The sequence below is a fragment of the Homo sapiens genome, chromosome X, assembly GCF_000001405.40.
Source record: "Homo sapiens chromosome X, GRCh38.p14 Primary Assembly".
Lineage (NCBI taxonomy): Eukaryota > Metazoa > Chordata > Mammalia > Primates > Hominidae > Homo > Homo sapiens.
In genome coordinates, this window is record NC_000023.11 from 23,769,516 (window position 1) to 23,787,075 (window position 17,560).

At 45.7% G+C, this 17,560-nt stretch overlaps 2 protein-coding genes and 1 long non-coding RNA gene across 10 annotated transcripts in view, besides 7 other annotated features; 2 read left to right on the forward strand and 1 right to left on the reverse strand.

Annotated features, from left to right (window-relative positions):
• SAT1-DT (SAT1 divergent transcript) overlaps positions 1–13,471 on the reverse strand; it is a 34,045-nt gene extending 20,574 nt beyond the window's left edge. The window contains exons 1-3 of one of the 7 annotated variants that reach the window (NR_184061.1): positions 13,370–13,471; positions 8,203–8,336; positions 3,306–3,995 (exon numbers count right to left, since the gene is read on the reverse strand). This is a non-coding gene — a long non-coding RNA (SAT1 divergent transcript). Of the gene's footprint in view, positions 1–589; positions 782–3,305; positions 3,996–8,202; positions 8,337–13,052 lie in introns of those variants that run through there. The other 6 variants (NR_184060.1, NR_184059.1, NR_184056.1 and 3 more) reach the window with 6 other exon arrangements.
• Positions 11,336–11,974: an enhancer, noted in NCBI's record as "H3K27ac hESC enhancer chrX:23798968-23799606 (GRCh37/hg19 assembly coordinates)". NCBI's record gives its function as "activates a minimal SCP1, AML or CMV promoter by ChIP-STARR-seq in naive H9 embryonic stem cells {active_cell/tissue: H9 hESC(naive)}" and the evidence as "EXISTENCE:reporter gene assay evidence [ECO:0000049][PMID:30033119]".
• Positions 11,336–12,007: a biological region, named in NCBI's record as "H3K27ac hESC enhancer GRCh37_chrX:23798968-23799606".
• Positions 11,858–12,007: an enhancer, noted in NCBI's record as "active region_29491". NCBI's record gives its function as "activates an Ori minimal core promoter by ATAC-STARR-seq in GM12878 lymphoblastoid cells {active_cell/tissue: GM12878}" and the evidence as "EXISTENCE:reporter gene assay evidence [ECO:0000049][PMID:35858748]".
• Positions 13,179–14,378: an enhancer, noted in NCBI's record as "BRD4-independent group 4 enhancer chrX:23800811-23802010 (GRCh37/hg19 assembly coordinates)". NCBI's record gives its function as "activates an origin of replication core promoter dependent on BRD2, P300/CBP, MED14 and CDK7 cofactors, and independent of BRD4, by STARR-seq in HCT116 cells {active_cell/tissue: HCT116}" and the evidence as "EXISTENCE:reporter gene assay evidence [ECO:0000049][PMID:35650434]".
• Positions 13,658–16,695, forward strand: SAT1 (spermidine/spermine N1-acetyltransferase 1). Of its 2 annotated transcripts, NR_027783.3 has the most exons (7): positions 13,658–13,902; positions 14,143–14,194; positions 14,285–14,368; positions 14,779–14,888; positions 15,813–15,914; positions 16,005–16,045; positions 16,171–16,695. NR_027783.3 is itself a non-coding variant. In NM_002970.4 (6 exons), exons 1-6 carry the CDS (start codon positions 13,837–13,839, stop codon positions 16,339–16,341), a joined length of 516 nt encoding a protein of 171 aa, NP_002961.1. In that variant the 5' UTR covers positions 13,658–13,836; the 3' UTR covers positions 16,342–16,695. The 2 variants fall into 2 exon arrangements, 1 of the variants encoding a protein (NP_002961.1); NM_002970.4 differs by lacking the exon at positions 14,779–14,888.
• Positions 13,676–13,855: an enhancer, noted in NCBI's record as "active region_29492". NCBI's record gives its function as "activates an Ori minimal core promoter by ATAC-STARR-seq in GM12878 lymphoblastoid cells {active_cell/tissue: GM12878}" and the evidence as "EXISTENCE:reporter gene assay evidence [ECO:0000049][PMID:35858748]".
• On the forward strand, positions 13,763–13,852 carry LOC127933115 (uncharacterized). Its single transcript, NM_001414725.1, has one exon. The coding sequence runs from the start codon at positions 13,763–13,765 to the stop codon at positions 13,850–13,852; it is 90 nt and encodes a 29-aa protein (NP_001401654.1).
• Positions 14,036–14,095: a silencer, noted in NCBI's record as "silent region_20706". NCBI's record gives its function as "represses an Ori minimal core promoter by ATAC-STARR-seq in GM12878 lymphoblastoid cells {active_cell/tissue: GM12878}" and the evidence as "EXISTENCE:reporter gene assay evidence [ECO:0000049][PMID:35858748]".
• Positions 14,306–14,355: an enhancer, noted in NCBI's record as "active region_29493". NCBI's record gives its function as "activates an Ori minimal core promoter by ATAC-STARR-seq in GM12878 lymphoblastoid cells {active_cell/tissue: GM12878}" and the evidence as "EXISTENCE:reporter gene assay evidence [ECO:0000049][PMID:35858748]".

The window sequence follows — 17,560 nt, forward strand, 5'->3', positions numbered from 1 at the left end:
TAACAACACATGGTAATTAAGATTAAATGAGGCCAGGGCCGGGCGCGGTGGCTCACACCTGTAATCCCAGCACTTTGGGACACCGAGGCGGGAGGATCACTTGGGGTCAGCAGTTCGAGACCATACTGGCCAACTTGGTGAAACCCCGTCTCTACTAAAAATACAAAAATCAGCCAGCTGTGGTGGTGCGCGCCTGTAATCCCAGCTACTCAGGAAGCTGAAGCAGGAGAATCGCTTGAACCTGGGAGGCGGAGGTTGCAGTGAGCCGAGATCGTGCCACTGCACTCTAGCCTGGGCAACAGAGCGAGACTCCATCTCAAAAAAAAAAAAAAAAAAAAAAAAAAACTAAATGAAATCACATTTGTAAAATGCCAAACAAGGAATACCACTCACAATAGGCACAAAGAAATGGAAGAAATGCTGGTTGCATATTTTGTTTTCCCTCTGCTGTAGTACCCTCCTATAATTAATCTCATAAGGAGACCCTAAAATGTACTACACTTCTCTCAGTCCTATGGCTCTGGGTCCCCTTTTGATCTTCTTGCACCCTTCCCCTACCTCCATCATCCTCCCAAAAGGAATGACTCACCCCAACATCCTCCACCTTCAGAATGAGTTTTCAGGTAATAACTTCTGTTGTTGCCAGCAGACTATGCCAAACATTCACTTGCACCAGGGCCAGAACATTGGTCTGTTCCTTGTTCCTCAGGCCAGAGGCTGTTTGGGTGCAGGGTACTCTCGCGTTTCCTTCTTTGAAGCATCCTCTATTTTCCTGGATTCACTGTTAACATTTAGTTGCCAGTTGACAAATGGTACAAAGGTTGGTAAGCTGGATTTTGAACTTTAAAATCTACTGCATGTACCCAGAGGCCACAGAGAAAAGAGGGGGTGTCTTATGCTTTGTGCACTAACAGGCAATTATTTACTATGATCTTCTTACTGAGTAACCTCTATACCTAGATTCAAAGAGCTGATACTTGTTTGTTGTTGTTGTTGTTGTTTTGAGATGGAGTCTCCTAGGCTGGAGTGCAGTGGCAAGATCTCGGCTGACTGCAACCTCCACCTGCTGGGTTCAAGCAATTCTCCTGCCTCAGCCTCCCGAGTAGCTAGAATTACAGGTGCCTGCTACCATGCTCAGCTAAATTTTGGTGGGTTTTTTTTTTTTTTTTTTTTTTTGAGATGGAGTCTCGCTCTGTCACCCAGGCTGGAGAGCCATGGTCTCGGCTCACTGCAAGCTCCTCCTCCCAGGTTGAAGTGATTATCAGCCTCCCTAGTAGCTGGGATTACAGGTATGCACCACTACACCCAGCTAATTTTTGTGTTTATAGTGGTTACAGGGTTTCGCCATGTTGGCCAGGCTTGTCTCCAACTGACCTCAAGTGATCCACCAACCTGGGCCTCCCAAAGTGCTGGGATTAAAGGCGTGAGCCATGGCGCCCACTCAAAAGTTGATACTTTAGGAGGCCTAAGGATGGTTGACTGCACTTTTCAGATATCCTAAGTATTTATAAGGAGTTAAAGGTTTGATCTCTGAGCTGAGTGATAGGCAGTAGTCTTCCTTTTAGACACAGTCTCAGGAGGGGAGAGAGGAAGGGCTGCCCGGAGGAGGTAGGTCACACAGAATGGGTTACAAATCATGTATCTGCCCTCAGTTCTAATTGTACCTGTCCTTTTTCTCCAGAAGGCTGGATCCTTTCCTACCAGAACCAGTACCTTAAGGGCTTGTAATATTGAACTGTGAGTCCCCAGAGGGCAGGTACTATGCCATATTTATTTTGGCACTCCCCAAGCACAATGCTTGGTAGGAAACAGACCTTAATAAGTTTTGGCTGTGCCAGACGTGGTGGCTCAGGCCTGTAATCCCAGCATTTTTGGGGGCCAAGATGGGCGGATCACGTGAGGCCAGGAGTTTGAGAACATCCTGGCCAACACAGAGAAATCCTGTCTCAGCCGGGTACGGTGGCTCACGCCTGTAATCCCAGCACTCTGGGAGGCCAAAGCAGGTATATCACCTGAGGTCAGGAGTGTGCGACCAGCCTGGCCAACATGGTGAAACCCCACCTCTACTAAAAATACAAAAAATTAGCCGGGCGTGGTGGCAGGTGCCTGTAATCCCAGCTACTCAGGCAGCTGAGGCAGGAGAATCGCTGGAACCTGGGAGGTGGAGGTTGCAGTGAGCCAAGATCACGCCACTGCACTCCAGCCTGGGCAACAAGAGCGAAACTCCATCTCAAAAAAAAAAAAAAAAAAGAAATCCTGTCTCTACCAAAAAATACAAAAATTATCCAGGTGTGGTAGCGCATGCCTGTAGTCTCAGCCCAGGTACTCAGGAGGCTGAGGCAGGAGACTTGCTTGAACCCGGGAGGCAGAGGTTGCAGTGAGCTGAGATCCGCGTCACTGAACTCCAGCCTGGGCGACAGAGCGAGAGCCCTGTCTCAAAAAGAAAAGAAGTATTGGTTAAAGGTTGAATTAAAAGTAGGCTTTTACTGCCCTTTAAATGTTTGGCATCAGTTCTGGGAGCCAGGAAAAAATAAATAAATAAATAAATAAATAAATAAATAAATAAATAAATGTGTGGCTGACAGACTCCATGGTGGCCTTCATGATCCTGCCTCCTGGTGTTCATGCCTTTGTGTGATACCTTCCCCTCGAGTGGTGACAGGACCTGTGACTTGATTCTGACCGATATGGTATAAGTGATAGGATGTTACTCCCATGATTATGTCACATGATGTAAGATTCTCTCTTGGCAGGAAACAAAAGCAAAAAATAGACAAGTGGGTCTACATCAAACTTAAAAACTTTTGTGCAGCTGGGCGCGGTGGCTCACGCCTGTAATCCCAGCACTTTGGGAGGCCAAGGTAGGTGGATCACCTGAGGTCGGGAGTTGGAGACAAACCTGCCAACATGGTGAAACCCTGTCTGTACAAAAAATACAAAAAGTTAGCCAGGCATTGTGGCGGGCACCTGTAATCCCAGCTACTCGGGAGGCTGAGGCAGGAGAATCGCTTGAACCTGGGAGTTGGAGGTTGCAGTGAGCCGAGATCACGCCATTGCACTCCAGCCTGGGCAACAAGAGTGAAACTCTTGAAAATTCATGAAGGGAGGAAAATACTCAGTGAAGGGAGTACAGCATAACCAGCCCAGAGAAAGAAACCAGAAAGTTCAGTGCCTCAGTTTCCTCATCTGTGAAATGTATCAAGGAGCCAGACCTGAGCCCCTCTGGGGCAGAGACTATTATTTTCACTCTTATGGCCCCAGCATCTAGCAGAGTGTCTCTCACAGAGTCGCACTTGTTAAAGCACTTTTTTGTTGTTGGTTTTTATTGTTTGTTTTTGGCATAGGATCTCACTCTGTTGTCCAGGCTCGAGTGCAGTGGCATGATCTCAGCTCAGCAACCTCCGCCCCCTGGGTTCAAGCGATTCTCATGTCTTCAGCCTTCTGAGTACCTGGGACTACAGACACGTACCACCACGCCCGGCTAATTTTTGTATTTTTAGTAGAGACGGGGTTTCACCATGTTGGCCAGGCTGATCTCCAACTCCTGACCTCAAGTGATCCGCCCACCTCGGCCTCCCGAAGTGCTGGGATTACAAGCGTGAGCCACCGCACCCAGCTGATAATGTGTGTTTTGACCTGACCGTGGTGGCATATGGACAAGACGGTTTGGGACTTGTTTATCCAGGAATAAAGTTCATGTTAGCAAGCAGTGAATCTCCCTCAGTGATTTGGGCTCAGCTTGGAACCATCCTGAGAGGCACATTATTTCTTGCAGACTGCGCAATTGGGGTCCTCTGAAAATGAAACCAAAATGGAACTCTTGCTTATGCCACCTGCTTCTGCTGAGGGACACACAGCTCTAGTCGCCTCCAGCACAAGATTCATGTGGGGCGGTGGTAATAGTGACACTTCCAGGTCACTTAGGGAAATCTCTCGCCAGGAGATGGGCAACTGGGCCATTGATACAGTGGTACCCGGCCACCTTTCATGAGTGCCTGTAATTAAAATGACATTTTAATTTGGATTTAGATATATGATAAAGTGAGACAGAAAGACAAATAAACATGTTTTCCTTTAATTTTTTGGAAATTTTATTAGCCCCTTATAAAAGGTTTAGTATGAAACTAGAAAATTCAATTTGGATAACTTAGTTTCTTTTTCTCTAATTTAGTTTCATTTCTCTTTACACAAATGTCACTTCCTCTCTGTAGCTTTCCAGGCCACTATGCTGCCTCGTCACCAAGACTTCGCTAGCACTCCATCCTGGCAGAATTAATTGTTTACTGCTTCCTGTAGATCATGTGGCACATTATTCACTGAAGCAGTTATCACAATGTATTTGATTACATTTCTGTTTTTTTTTCTCTCTAGGTGGCAAATTCTCAGAAGTCAGAAACTCTCCCTGTTTGATCTTTGTAGTGTCAGGACCCAGCATAATACCTGACATATAGTAGATGCTCAATAAATGAATTAAATGGAATTGAATTAGTATATTGGCTTTACTTATTATTTTGTTTGTTTTAGTCCCCTCCCCCCTTTAATGATTCTTTCTTTCTTTTTTTTTTTTTTTTATTCTCAATTGTTCCATCACCCAGGCTGGAGTGCAGTGGCACGATCTCAGCTCACTGCAACCTCCACCTCCTGGCTTCAAGCAATTCTTGTGCCTCAGCCTCCCAAGTAGGTGAGATTACAGGGATGCGCCACCATGCCTGGCTAATTTTTGTATTTTTGGTGAAGACGAGTTTTCACCATGTTGGCCAGGCTGGTCTCAAACCCCTGGCCTTAAGTGATCTGCCCAACTTAGCCTCCCAAAGTGCTGGGATTACAGGCATGAGCCACTGCACCCGGCCTGATTATTTTCAAAGAATTGAAGATAGAGTGCATCAGAAAAAATTCTATATTCATTATCTTTACTTTCTGTTGCTCAGACTATATGAGCCTCTTGGCCAAATAAAAGCCATTTATGGAACTGGTTTGCAGATGATTCTGAAAAGAGGCTGAGAGGAGAGGGATTAGGGAGGAAAAAAAATCCTTGTGGGATAGGGTCAGAATTCAAAGAGAAAATGGAGAATTAAAGACAAATTCAACGGAATTCTAATAAGATCAGGTGTAGAATCATAAACCTGAGGACAATCTAGGTATATAAACGCAAGACGTGGACCAGGCATGGTGGCCCACACCTGTAATCCCAGCACTTTTGGAGGCCAAGGTGGGAGGAACGCTTGAGCCCAGGAATTTGAGACCAGCTTGGGCAACATAGTGAGACCCTATCTCTTCAAAAAGTAAAATATTAGCTGGGTATGGTGGCAGATACTTTTTCTTTTTTTTTGAGACGAACTCTCGCTCTGTCTCCAGGCTGGAGTGTAGTGGCATAGTCTTGGCTCACTACAACCTCCACCTCCCAGGTTCAAGCTCTTCTCCTGCCTCAGCCTCCCAAGTAGCTGGGACGACAGGTGTGCACCATCACGCCTGGCTAATTTTTGTGTTTTTAGTAGAGATGGGGTTTCACCATGTTGGCCAGGATGGTCTCCATCTCTTGACCTTGTGATCTGCCCGCCTCAGCCTCTTAAAGTGCTGGGATTACAGGTGTGAGCCACTGCGCCCAGCCAGGTGGCACATACTTACAGTCTCAGCTACATGGGAGGCTGAGTTGAGAAGATTGTTTGAGTCCAGGAGTTCAAGGCTGCAGCGAGCTATGATTGCACCTCTGCACTCCAGCCTTGGAGACAGAGTGAGACCCTGACTCAAAAAAAAAAAAAAAAAAAAAAAAAAGGAGTAAACCCAAACCCAAGATGTGCAGGAGTGGCATTTCAGAAGCTAAGTTCTAGGGGTCATGTGATCCTCCTACCTCAGCCTCCCAAGTAGCTGGGACTACAGATATGTACCACCATGTCCAGCTAATTTTTGTGTTTTTTGTAGAGGTGGGGTTTTGCCATGTTGACCAGGCTGGTCTCAAACTCCTGGGCTCAAGCAATCCACCCAACTCGACCTCCCAAAATGCTGGGATTACAGGTGTGAGCCATGGCGCCCACCAAGAGCTGACACTTTAGGAGGCCTAAGGATGGTTGACTGCACTTTTCAGATATCCCAAGTATTTATAAGGAGTTAAAGGCTTGATCTCTGAGCTGAGTGATAGGCAGTAGTCTTCCTTTTAGACACAGTCTCAGGAGGGGAGAGAGGAAGGGCTGCCCGGAGGAGGTAGGTCACACAGAATGGGTTACGAATCGTGTATCTGCCCTCAGTTCTAATTGTACCTGTCCTTTTTCTCCAGAAGGCTGGATCCTTTCTTACCAGAACCAGTACCTTAAGGGCTTGTAATATTGAACTGTGAGTCCCCAGAGGGCAGGTACTATGCCATATTTATTTTGGCACTCCCCAAGTACAATGCTTGGTAGGAAACAGGCCTTAATAAGTTTTGGCTATGCCAGAAGCGGTGGCTCACGCCTGTAATCCCAGCACTTTGGGAGGCCGAGGCAGGTGGATCACCTGAGGTCAGGAGTTCAAGACCAGGCTGGCCAACAAGGTGAAACCCCATCTCTACTAAAATACAAAAACTAGCCAGGCATGGTGGCATGCGCCTATAATCCTGGCTACTCAGGAGGCTGCGGCAGGAGAATTGCTTGAGCCTGAGAGGCAGAGGTTGCAGTGAGCTAAGATCGCACCACTGCACTCCAGCCTGGGCAACAGAGCTAGACTCCATCTCCAAAAAAAAAAAAAAAAAAAAGCACCCAAAACAACAAATAACACAATTTAAAAATGGATGAAGGAGGCTGGGCACAGTGGCTCACACCTATAATCCCAGCACTTTGGGAGGCCGAGGCAGGTGGATCACTTGAGGCCAGAAGTTTGAGACCAGCCTGGCCAACATAGCTAAACCCCCTTCTTTTTAAAAAATACAAAAAGTTAGCCAGGCATTGTGGCATGCACCTATAATCCTAGCTAATTGGGAGGCAGAGGTAGAAGAATTGCTTGTACCTGGGAGGCAGAGGCTGCAGTGAGCCAAGATCGCACCACTGCACTCCAGACAGAGCAAGACCCTGTCTCCAAAAAGAAAAAAAAAATGGATGAAAGACTTAAATAGACAGATCTCCAAAGAAAATGTATAAACGGACAACAAGCATATAAAAGACATTCAGCATCACTAATCATCAGAGAAATGCAAATTAAAACCACAATATCACCTCACATCTATTTTAACTGCCACTATTTTTTGAAAGGTGGCCAGGTGTGGTGGCTCACGCCTGTAATCTCAACACTTTGGGAGGCCTATGTAGGAGGATTACTTGAGCCTAGGAGTTCAAGACCAGCCTGGCCAAGATAGTGAGACCCCCATCTCTACATAAAAATACTTTTAAATTTTTTTAAATTAAAGAAAGGCCAGGCATGGTAGCTCACACCTGTAATTCCAGTGCTTTGGGAGGCTGAAGTGGGAGGATTGCCTGAGCCCTGGAGTTCAGGGTTCAATGAGCTAGGATCATGCCACTGCACTCCATCTAGCCTGGATGACAAACCAAGACCCTGTCACTTGAAAAAAAATAATAAAAAATAAAAATAACCAGAAAACAAAATGACAACTGCTGGTGTAGATGTAGAGAAATTGGAACCTTTATGCACTGTTGGGAATGTAAAACAGTGCGGCTGCTATGGAAAACAGCAGGGAGATTCCTCAAAAAGTTAAAAATTTAAGTAACATGATCCAGCAATCCCACTTCTGGGTATATATCCAAAAAAAAAAAAAAAATGAAAATAGGGCCAGGCGCGGTAGCTCACGCCTGTAATCCCAGCACTTTAGGAGGCCGAGGCAGGCAGATCACATGAGGTCAGGAGTTGGAGACCAGCCGGGCCAACATGGTGAAACCCCATCTCTACTAAAAATACAAAAATTAACCGGGCCTGGTGGCACATGCCTGTAATCCAGCTACTTGGGAGGCTGAGGCACGAGAATCGCTTGAACCTGGGAAGCGGAGGTTGCAGTGAGCCAAGATCGCACCACTGCACTCCAGCCTGGGTGACAGAATGAGACTATGTCAAAAAAAAAAAAAGTGTTCATGGTAGAATGGTAGAGAGCAGTGGCCCTTGGTCCAACAAAGCCAGTCTTAAATCATAAACATTCATAACTCTATCATGTCCCAGCTTTAACAATTTTGTAACCCCTGTTGAGCCTCAGGTTTTGCCAGCTGTAAAGACAGTGCTATTACTTACTTCACAAGACAGTTGTAACGGCCAGGCATGGCAGCTCACACCTGTCATCCCAGCACTTTGGGAGGCTGAGGCAGGAGGAGTGCTTGAAGCCAGGAGTTCGAGGCTAGCCTAGGCAACTTAGCAAGATCCCATCCCTACAAAAAAATTTTAAAGATTAGCCAGGCATGGCGGCATGTGCCTGTGGTCCTAGCCACTCGGGAGGTTGAGATGGGAGGATTGCTTGAGTCCAGGAGTTGTGGTTGCAGTGAGCCATGCTTGCATTATTGCCCTCCAGCTTGGGCAACAGAGCAAGACCCTGTTTAAAAAAAAAATAGGGCCTGGTGTGGTGGCTCACGCCTGTTATCCTAGCACTTTGGGAGGCCGAGGCAGGAGGATCCCCTGAGGTCAGGAGTTCGAGATCAGCCTGGCCAACAGGACGAAACCCCGTCTCTACTAAAATTTTAAAGAAAAAAAAATTGGCCGGGTGCGGTGGCTCACACCTGTAATCCCAGCACATTCAGAGGCCGAGGCAGGTGGATCACCTGAGGTCGGGAGTTTGAGACTAGCCTGACTGACATGGAGAATGCCCGTCTCTACTAAGAATGCAAAATTAGCCGGGCGTGGTGGCACATGCCTGTAATCCCAGTTACTTGGGAGGCTGAGGCAGGAGAATTGCCCGAACCTGGGAGGCGGAGGTTACGGTGAGCCGAGATTGCGCCATTACACTCCAGCCTGGGCAACAAGAGTGAAACTGTCTAAAAAATAAAAAATAAAAAAATAATTAGCTGGGTGTGGTGGCACATGCCTGTAATCCCAGCTACTCAGGAGGGTGAGGCAGGAGAATCACTTGAACCCAGAGGGCGGAGGTTGCAGTAAGCCAAGATCACACCACTGCACTTCAGCATGGGTGACAAAGCAACACTCCCTCTCAAAAAAAAAAAAAAAATTTAGGCTGGGCATGGTGGCTGACGCCTGTAATCCTAGCACTTTGGCAGGCCGAGGCTGGTGGATCACTTGAGGTCAGGAGTTCAATACCACCTTGGCCAATATGGTGAAACCCCATCTCTACTAAAAATACAAAAATTAGCTGGGTGTGGTGGCTCATTCCTGTAATCCCAGGTGCTTGGGAGGCTGAGGCAGGAGAATCACTTGAACCCAGGAGGCAGAGGTTGCAGTGAGCTGAGATCATGCCACTGCACTCCAGCCTGGGCAACAGAGCGAGACTCCGTCTCAAAAAAAAAAAAATAGTTGTAAGAATCAAATGAGACAATTAAAGCAAACCACCTAAGACAATGCCTTGGCTGATTCCCTTCCCAGTACTCTTCCCCTACTCAGTCCTCCTCAGTTACAGGGATTCTCTTTCTCACAAAGATTAAATTCTGCTGTAAAAACCACACACACACATCTCCAAAAGTAATGTGTATACCCTGAGGGCTGGTTTCAAAACTTGGTCATCCTTTAAAACCTCCAAGTACCTAGCACAAGACTCAGTAAGGACGTGTTCATCTGCCGACTCACTAACCAAATAAAAGTTTTCCAAATGCTAGACAGTTAATCCCTTTTCTCACGCCATTTTTTCCCCTGCTGTTCAGGAGCTGTATATGCCATTTTAAATATAAATTCCATGCTGGACATGAGATTTCTCATGCCTGTAATCCCAGCACTTTGGGAGGCTAAGGCGTGAGAATCCCTTGAAGCCAGGAGTTCAAAACCAGTCTGGGCAACACAGAAGGACTCGTATCTCATTAGCCAGGTATTGTGGCACACACCTATAATCCTAGCTACTTGGGAGGCTGAGGTGGGAGAGTCCCTTGACCCTGGGAGGTAGAGCTTGCCTGGGTGACAGAGAAAGACTGTCTCAAAAAAAGAAAGAAAGAAAGAAAAGAAAGACTCCCATCTCTACAAAAAATTTTAAAGATTAGCCGGGCATGGTGGCACATACCTGTGGTCCGAGTTACTCAGGAGGTTGAGGTGGGAGGATCGCTTAAACCCAGGAGTTCAAGGCTGCAGTGAGCTATAATCATGCCACTGCACTCCTGCCTGGGCGACAGAGCAAGACCCTGTCTCTTAAAAAAAAAAAAAAAAATAGGCCAGGCGCAGTGGTTCACATCTGTAATCCCAGCACTTTGGGAGACCGAGGCGGGCGGATCACCTGAGGTCAGGAGTTTGAGACCAGCCTGACCAACATGGAGAAACCCCACCTCTACTAAAAATACAAAATTAGCAGGGCGTGGTGGCACATGCCTGCAATCCCAGCTACTCAGGAAGCTGAGGCAGGAGAATTGCTTGAACCTAGGAGGTGGAGGCTACAGTGAGCTGAGATCACACCATTGCACTCCAGCCTGGGCAACAAGAGCAAAACTCCGTCTCAAAAAATAATAATTTTTGTGTTATATATATATACTTGTATATATACGTATATATACACACATATATATGTGTATATATATGTATATATATATACCTATATATGTGTATATATATGTATGTGTGTGTATATATATATGGCTGAACGTGGTGGCTCACACCTGCAATCCCAGCACTTTGGGAGGCCAAAGCGGGTGAATCACCTGAAGTCAGGAGTTCAAGACCAGCCTGGCCCACATGGTGAAACCCCGTCTCTACCAAAAGTATAAAATTAGCTGGGCGTGGTGGCAGGTGGGAGGCTGAGGCAGGAGAATCACTTGAACCCAGGAGGCGGAGGTTGCAGTGAGCCGAGATTGTGCCATTGCACTCCAGCCTGGGCAATAGAGTGAGACTCTGTTTAAAAAAAAAAAAAAATATATATATATATATATATATAATATATATATATATATGTAATGTTGGTTGCATCTATCCATTCATGACAATGGAAAAGCATAATGTGATTCACTGCCATGAAAAACATTCAAACTTCTTAGGGTTCTAGGCTTCTTCATGTCCACAATCACAGTCACAGTGGGCTTTTTTAGCCGTCTGTTTTGTTTCGGTTTTTTTGAGAGAGGGTCTCGCTCTGTCACCCAGGCTGGAGTGCAGTGGCGCAATCATGGCTCACTGCAGCCTCGACCTCCTGGGCTCAAGTGATCCTCCCACCTCAGCCTCCCAAGTATAATAGCTGGGATACAGGCACACGCCACCACACCCAGCTAATTCTTGTATTTTTTTTGTACAGACGGAGTTTCCCTATGTTACCCAGGATGGTCTCAAACTCCTGGGCTCAAGCGATTCATCCACCTCAGCCTCCCAAAGTGCTGGGTTTACAGGCATGAGACACCACACCTGGCCACCATCTGTTTTTCAGAATAGGTTCTTCTTGTCATAAGGACAAAGCAAAGCAAAAGATCATGAAACAATGTTTTTTCTTTTTTTTTTTTTTGAGACGGAGTCTTGCCCTGTTGCCCAGGCTGGAGTGCAATGGCGCCATCTCGGCTCACTGCAACCTCCGCCTCCTGGGTTCAAACGAATCTCCTGCCTCCGCCTCCTGAGTAGCTGGGATTACAGGCACTCGTCACCATGCCCAATTTTTTTTTAAATTATTTTTAGTAGACACGGCGTTTTACCATGTTGGCCAGGTTGGTCTCGAACTCCTGACCTCGTGATCCACCTGCCTCTGTAGAAGGAGGGATCAGACTATCCCCAAAAGACCACCCCTCACATTCAACAAGTGATTCTCTGCCTTTGCTAGCAATATCCTGTATGTAGAAAAGAAAGCAGAAGTAGATTCTCTGTTACCCTTCCTGCCCTAGGGGGATTCCACGGATCCTGAGTCACCCTGGGAGATTATGAAACTCAAAGGTCTTTCTCAAAGATCTTTAAAAACCACTGATTCTCAACTGCCAAATTACAGCTACTAGTCTTTCCTGATAGTGTTGGCTAGACCTCATGGATGACCAGAAGGCCTTTTCCTCCTCTGCTTCTGTCTAAAATGTCAGGACTTAGGAGAGCTTGTTATACATTTCCTGGTAACAGTAAATTAGACCGCTATGACTAAGCGCTAGTGACAGCTGCGTAGCTAAAGCAAAACCAAAGCCATCTTCTGTTTGGGTTGCTTAGTTTAATAGAATAGTGATTGTTTTGGCCGGGCACGGTGGCTCACGCCTGTAATCCCAGCACTTTGGGAGGCCGAGGTGGGAGGAGCACTTGAGCCCAGGAGTTCGAGACCAGCCTGGGCAAGATGGTGAGGCCCTATCTCTACCAAAAAAAAAAAAAAAAAAAAAAAAAAAAAAAAAAAAAAACTTATCAAAGAATCCAAAGACCTTACCTTCGAAAATTGTAAAAAACAGTAATACACAAGCACATATTCTTTTAGTCACCAGAGCAATGACATCATCACATATTCTGTAAATGTATAATTATTTCAAAAAAAAGTTAAAGGAAATGAAGCACAGAAGATGAATCAAGTAGGGATTACAACAACTTTCAACAGCAACCGAAGTCAGAAGACAGATACCATCAATGTGCTGAAAGAGGAAAACTTCTGAACCTCAAAATCTATAAACTATGAAATAAACCCTTCAAGAATTTTAAGATGGGCTGGTCCAAAGGTAGTGAGTTATCTCAGTTGATTGTTCACAATCAGTTACACATCAAACTCCTTATTTTACTCTGACTACTGCACTTGACTAGTCTAAAAAAAGAATTATAAGATGAATTAAAGACACGTTCAGATAAGCAAAACTGAGAACGTTTGGCAAAAGCAGATCTTTACTAAAGGAAATTATGAAGAATGTACCTCGGGCAGAAGGAAAAGTGTCAAGATCAAGTGTCAAGGAAGATTAGAGATTTAAGAAGGTATAAGAAGGTTAGAAAAGTAAGAAAAAAATATGCCGTCAACTCTAAAAACTACAAGTATAAAGAAAAAAGATTATTGGGAAATCCAAATAACCTACCTTAGGAAATTCTAAAAGAATATACGAGCTCACATTCCTTTGGTCATAAGAGCAGTGTCATCATTAGACATCAGGTCGCCTCTGGAAAATTCCATTGTGAGTTTAAAAGGCAAATGACGTCTATAATTCTAAAACTAGTTCTCCCACCGAAACTCTAGAAAGGATCTTGGGATCTGCAGGGTCTCCCGGATCACACTTTGAGAACTGCTGCTTTAGTCTTCCTCCCATCTCCTAAGGCCAGAGCTCCTGAGTTTGCTTCCCACTGGCCAAGGAGAAAAGAGCAAGGTCACTTGTCGGGGGGCTGCAGAGGGAATTACCTTCTTTCATTTGCAAATGTTACTGGGGGACACACCGGCTCCCAGTAGGGTTTCCGCCAAGGCTCCGCGAAACGCCACTAGAGGGCGCCGCTAGCGAATCCCACAGCGCGCCCCGCTGCCCCCACTTTTGTCCTCCGGGTTCACACGGGCGCCCGGAAGAGAGGGTGGTGCCTGGGAGAGGAAACGATGCGCCCCGGGGCCGCGGCCTCATTGGATGAGAGGTCCCACCTCACGGCCCGAGGCGGGGCTTCTTTGCGCTTAAAAGCCGAGCCGGGCCAATGTTCAAATGCGCAGCTCTTAGTCGCGGGCCGACTGGTGTTTATCCGTCACTCGCCGAGGTTCCTTGGGTCATGGTGCCAGCCTGACTGAGAAGAGGACGCTCCCGGGAGACGAATGAGGAACCACCTCCTCCTACTGTTCAAGTACAGGGGCCTGGTCCGCAAAGGGAAGAAAAGCAAAAGACGAAAATGGCTAAATTCGTGATCCGCCCAGCCACTGCCGCCGACTGCAGTGACATACTGCGGCTGATCAAGGTAGCGGAGAGCCAGAGCTCCTCCCGGGGCGTGGGGTGGAGGTGGCTCCGTTTCCCAGAGTGGGGTGATTCACGTCTTGAGGTCTCGGCCGGTGTGAGAGCCCAGCCTGTTCCCCTTTCTGCGCCCATCCCCGGCTCGGCCGCCACCCCGCCCGCCCGCCCCATTCCGTTCCCCTGAGCTGGCCGGGCCGGAGCCTCATTTTGTTTTCTACTTTTTTCTCTCCTATGTGCATCCCCCCAGGAGCTGGCTAAATATGAATACATGGAAGAACAAGTAATCTTAACTGAAAAAGGTAATTCAACAGTGGCGGGACGGGGGACAAGCGTTCGGTGCCTGTCACCTTCGCCAAGGCCATTACCGCCCCTGCTCCCCCTTCTTGCAGATCTGCTAGAAGATGGTTTTGGAGAGCACCCCTTTTACCACTGCCTGGTTGCAGAAGTGCCGAAAGAGCACTGGACTCCGGAAGGTAACCCCTCGCCCTTTCCAGAAGCCAGAGAGACCAAGTGTTATGTAAGAAGTAGTGTCGGCTGTGTAGAACCACTGACTACACAGGCCGAAGTTACTGAGAACTTGGACAGAAAAAATAGCCAGCAAGTGTTCAAACTACTGAGGAAAAAAAAAAATTAGATATGCTGCACTTAAGAATACTAGGGCAGGTTAAAAGAGCTGTTTAAGTAAGTATCAGAGTGCTGTGGAGACTCGGAAGTGTTTAAGCTGCTTAAGTAAGTATAAGTGCTGTGGAGACCCGGAAGAGTTAGATATAATGTCATTTGTTGTAATTCAGTTTCATAAAATGGTTCTTGTTTGACCCTAACGTAACAGTTTTTGTAATTGTGTTAAATCACATTTTTTTCTTTAATTTGTCCCAATCTTCAGGTTACAGTCTCTAGCTTCGCCATGTACATGGCCCTTCCGTGTACATGGATGGGCGGGGAGGTAACTAAAAGATCCTTTACACAATAAAGTAGATGATCATGATAAATGAGGTAAGGTCCTATTATCACACACTTCAAACACGGTAGATCAGAAACCCACTATGATACTCGCTTCCTGTCTGTTTGCTAAGGAATATAAAATGGCTAGAAAGTTTAATTTGAAACCTTTGCCTCCATTTGGAATAGTAGACACCAGTTAAGAGGGTGTCAGATGCCTTTTTTTTTTTTTTTTTTTTGGCTGGTCCCTGTTGATTGGTCAGAAGACAGCTCAGCTAAAAGGGGAAGTTGTCTGGGTGGTTGCTTTTTTTCTGACGTCTGTTCCTCAGGCTGGAAGAAATGAGCAGAAAACAAGGGATGAGTACTTTTTAGAGTATGTGCATGTTACGTAATACCTGTTTCTGGGCAATGCTGCTTCTTCTGACTCAACAAATGGGGAGAGCAAATTGAAAATGCGTAAATTGGAAGGCAAGTTCTGAAATTAAACGTTGTACTTTGGCCTGATGTTCTGACCTTTAAGGAAGCAAGAGTTTGTAAACTTCCAAATATTTACTATTCTGAACTGCCGTGTAAACCTGACGTATTCCCAAGTCAACATACCAGTATACCAATAGGATGTGAATAATGTGTGTGTTGAGTTTAAAACCATAGCAGTTTTGCTCTGGCAAGTAATGAAAGCGTTCTCGCTTCCTGAGTGTGAGCTCCAGCAGACTGCAGAGTGGCCAGTCCACAGTTGTAGCCTGACTTCAGTGAGTTCTGATGTGTGCTTTTTGCAAATACATGTTCTCAGAACAGTGAGATCATCCAGCAGTGGCCTGGACTGCACTCACATAAAAATCATGAGACAGCCATGGCTACTTGTTTCTGTAATACATGCATGTGTGTTTTTTAAAACCTATGATAGGCCTCTGATTCTGCAGCTGCAACTTTTATGGAATGTTTTCCTTCTCCACATCTCATGTGATGCTCTTATTACAGGACACAGCATTGTTGGTTTTGCCATGTACTATTTTACCTATGACCCGTGGATTGGCAAGTTATTGTATCTTGAGGACTTCTTCGTGATGAGTGATTATAGAGGTACGATTGAGTTCGGAGCAGAGGGTCTGAAGAGAGTTCAGAGTTATAAATGCTTACAATGACTTTTTAAATTGTACTCTTTCTTTTTAGGCTTTGGCATAGGATCAGAAATTCTGAAGAATCTAAGCCAGGTATGTCTTAGTTTTTGGTTTCCAAATTTGTAAGTTTACTGGATTATTTTAATGATGGAATAAAAATTGGGTCTTGAGAGCAGGCTGAAATGTCACTGAGTGTGTGTTTTACTCTCTCATAATAGGTTGCAATGAGGTGTCGCTGCAGCAGCATGCACTTCTTGGTAGCAGAATGGAATGAACCATCCATCAACTTCTATAAAAGAAGAGGTGCTTCTGATCTGTCCAGTGAAGAGGGTTGGAGACTGTTCAAGATCGACAAGGAGTACTTGCTAAAAATGGCAACAGAGGAGTGAGGAGTGCTGCTGTAGATGACAACCTCCATTCTATTTTAGAATAAATTCCCAACTTCTCTTGCTTTCTATGCTGTTTGTAGTGAAATAATAGAATGAGCACCCATTCCAAAGCTTTATTACCAGTGGCGTTGTTGCATGTTTGAAATGAGGTCTGTTTAAAGTGGCAATCTCAGATGCAGTTTGGAGAGTCAGATCTTTCTCCTTGAATATCTTTCGATAAACAACAAGGTGGTGTGATCTTAATATATTTGAAAAAAACTTCATTCTCGTGAGTCATTTAAATGTGTACAATGTACACACTGGTACTTAGAGTTTCTGTTTGATTCTTTTTTAATAAACTACTCTTTGATTTAATTGTTTGGTGTAAGCATTTTTACTAGTTCTTTATTTCTTACACATCTTTCTTGCTGTTGAAGACAAAAATGACCCGCAAACATCATTGGATGAACAGAATTGCTCAAAATAGTTTTTAACCCAATTTAAAGTTTTTATGGTCATGTGTTATGTTAGTATTAACAAAGTCTGGATAGAAGCCAGTTTACCAGTTGGCTATCAAGGTTTTATACATAGCAACATGTAAAACATGACTTTTTTTTTTTTTTGAGACACAGTCTCATTCTGTTGCTCAGGCTGGAGCGCAGTAGTACGATCTCAGCTCACTGCAACGTCTGCCTCCCGGGTTCAAGCAATTCTCATGCCTCAGCCTCCTGAATAGCTGGGACTATAGGCATGTGCCACCGTACCCAGCTGATTTTTGTATTTTTAGTAAAGACGGGGCTTTGCCATGTTGGCCACGCTGGTCTTGAACTCCTGACCTCAAGTGATCCACCCACCTCAGCCTACCGAAGTGCTGGGATGACAAGGGTCAGCCACAGCACCCGGCAAAACGGCTTTTTATGTTGATGACACTATACACTGCATCTGATGGATTTTTTTTTTTTTTTTTTTGAGACAGTCTCGCTTTGTCACCCAGCCTGGGCAGTGTGGAGTGCAGTGGCACGATCTCGGCTCACTGCAAGCTCCTCCTCCTGGGTTCACACCATTCTCCTGCCTCAGCCTCCTGAATAGCTGGGACTACAGGCGCCCGCCACCATGCCCGGCTAATTTTTTGTATTTTTTAGTAGAGACGGGGTTTCACTGTGTTAGCCAGGATGGTCTCGATCTCTTGACCTCATAATCCGCCTGCCTCGGCCTCCCAAAGTGCTGGGATTACAGGCAT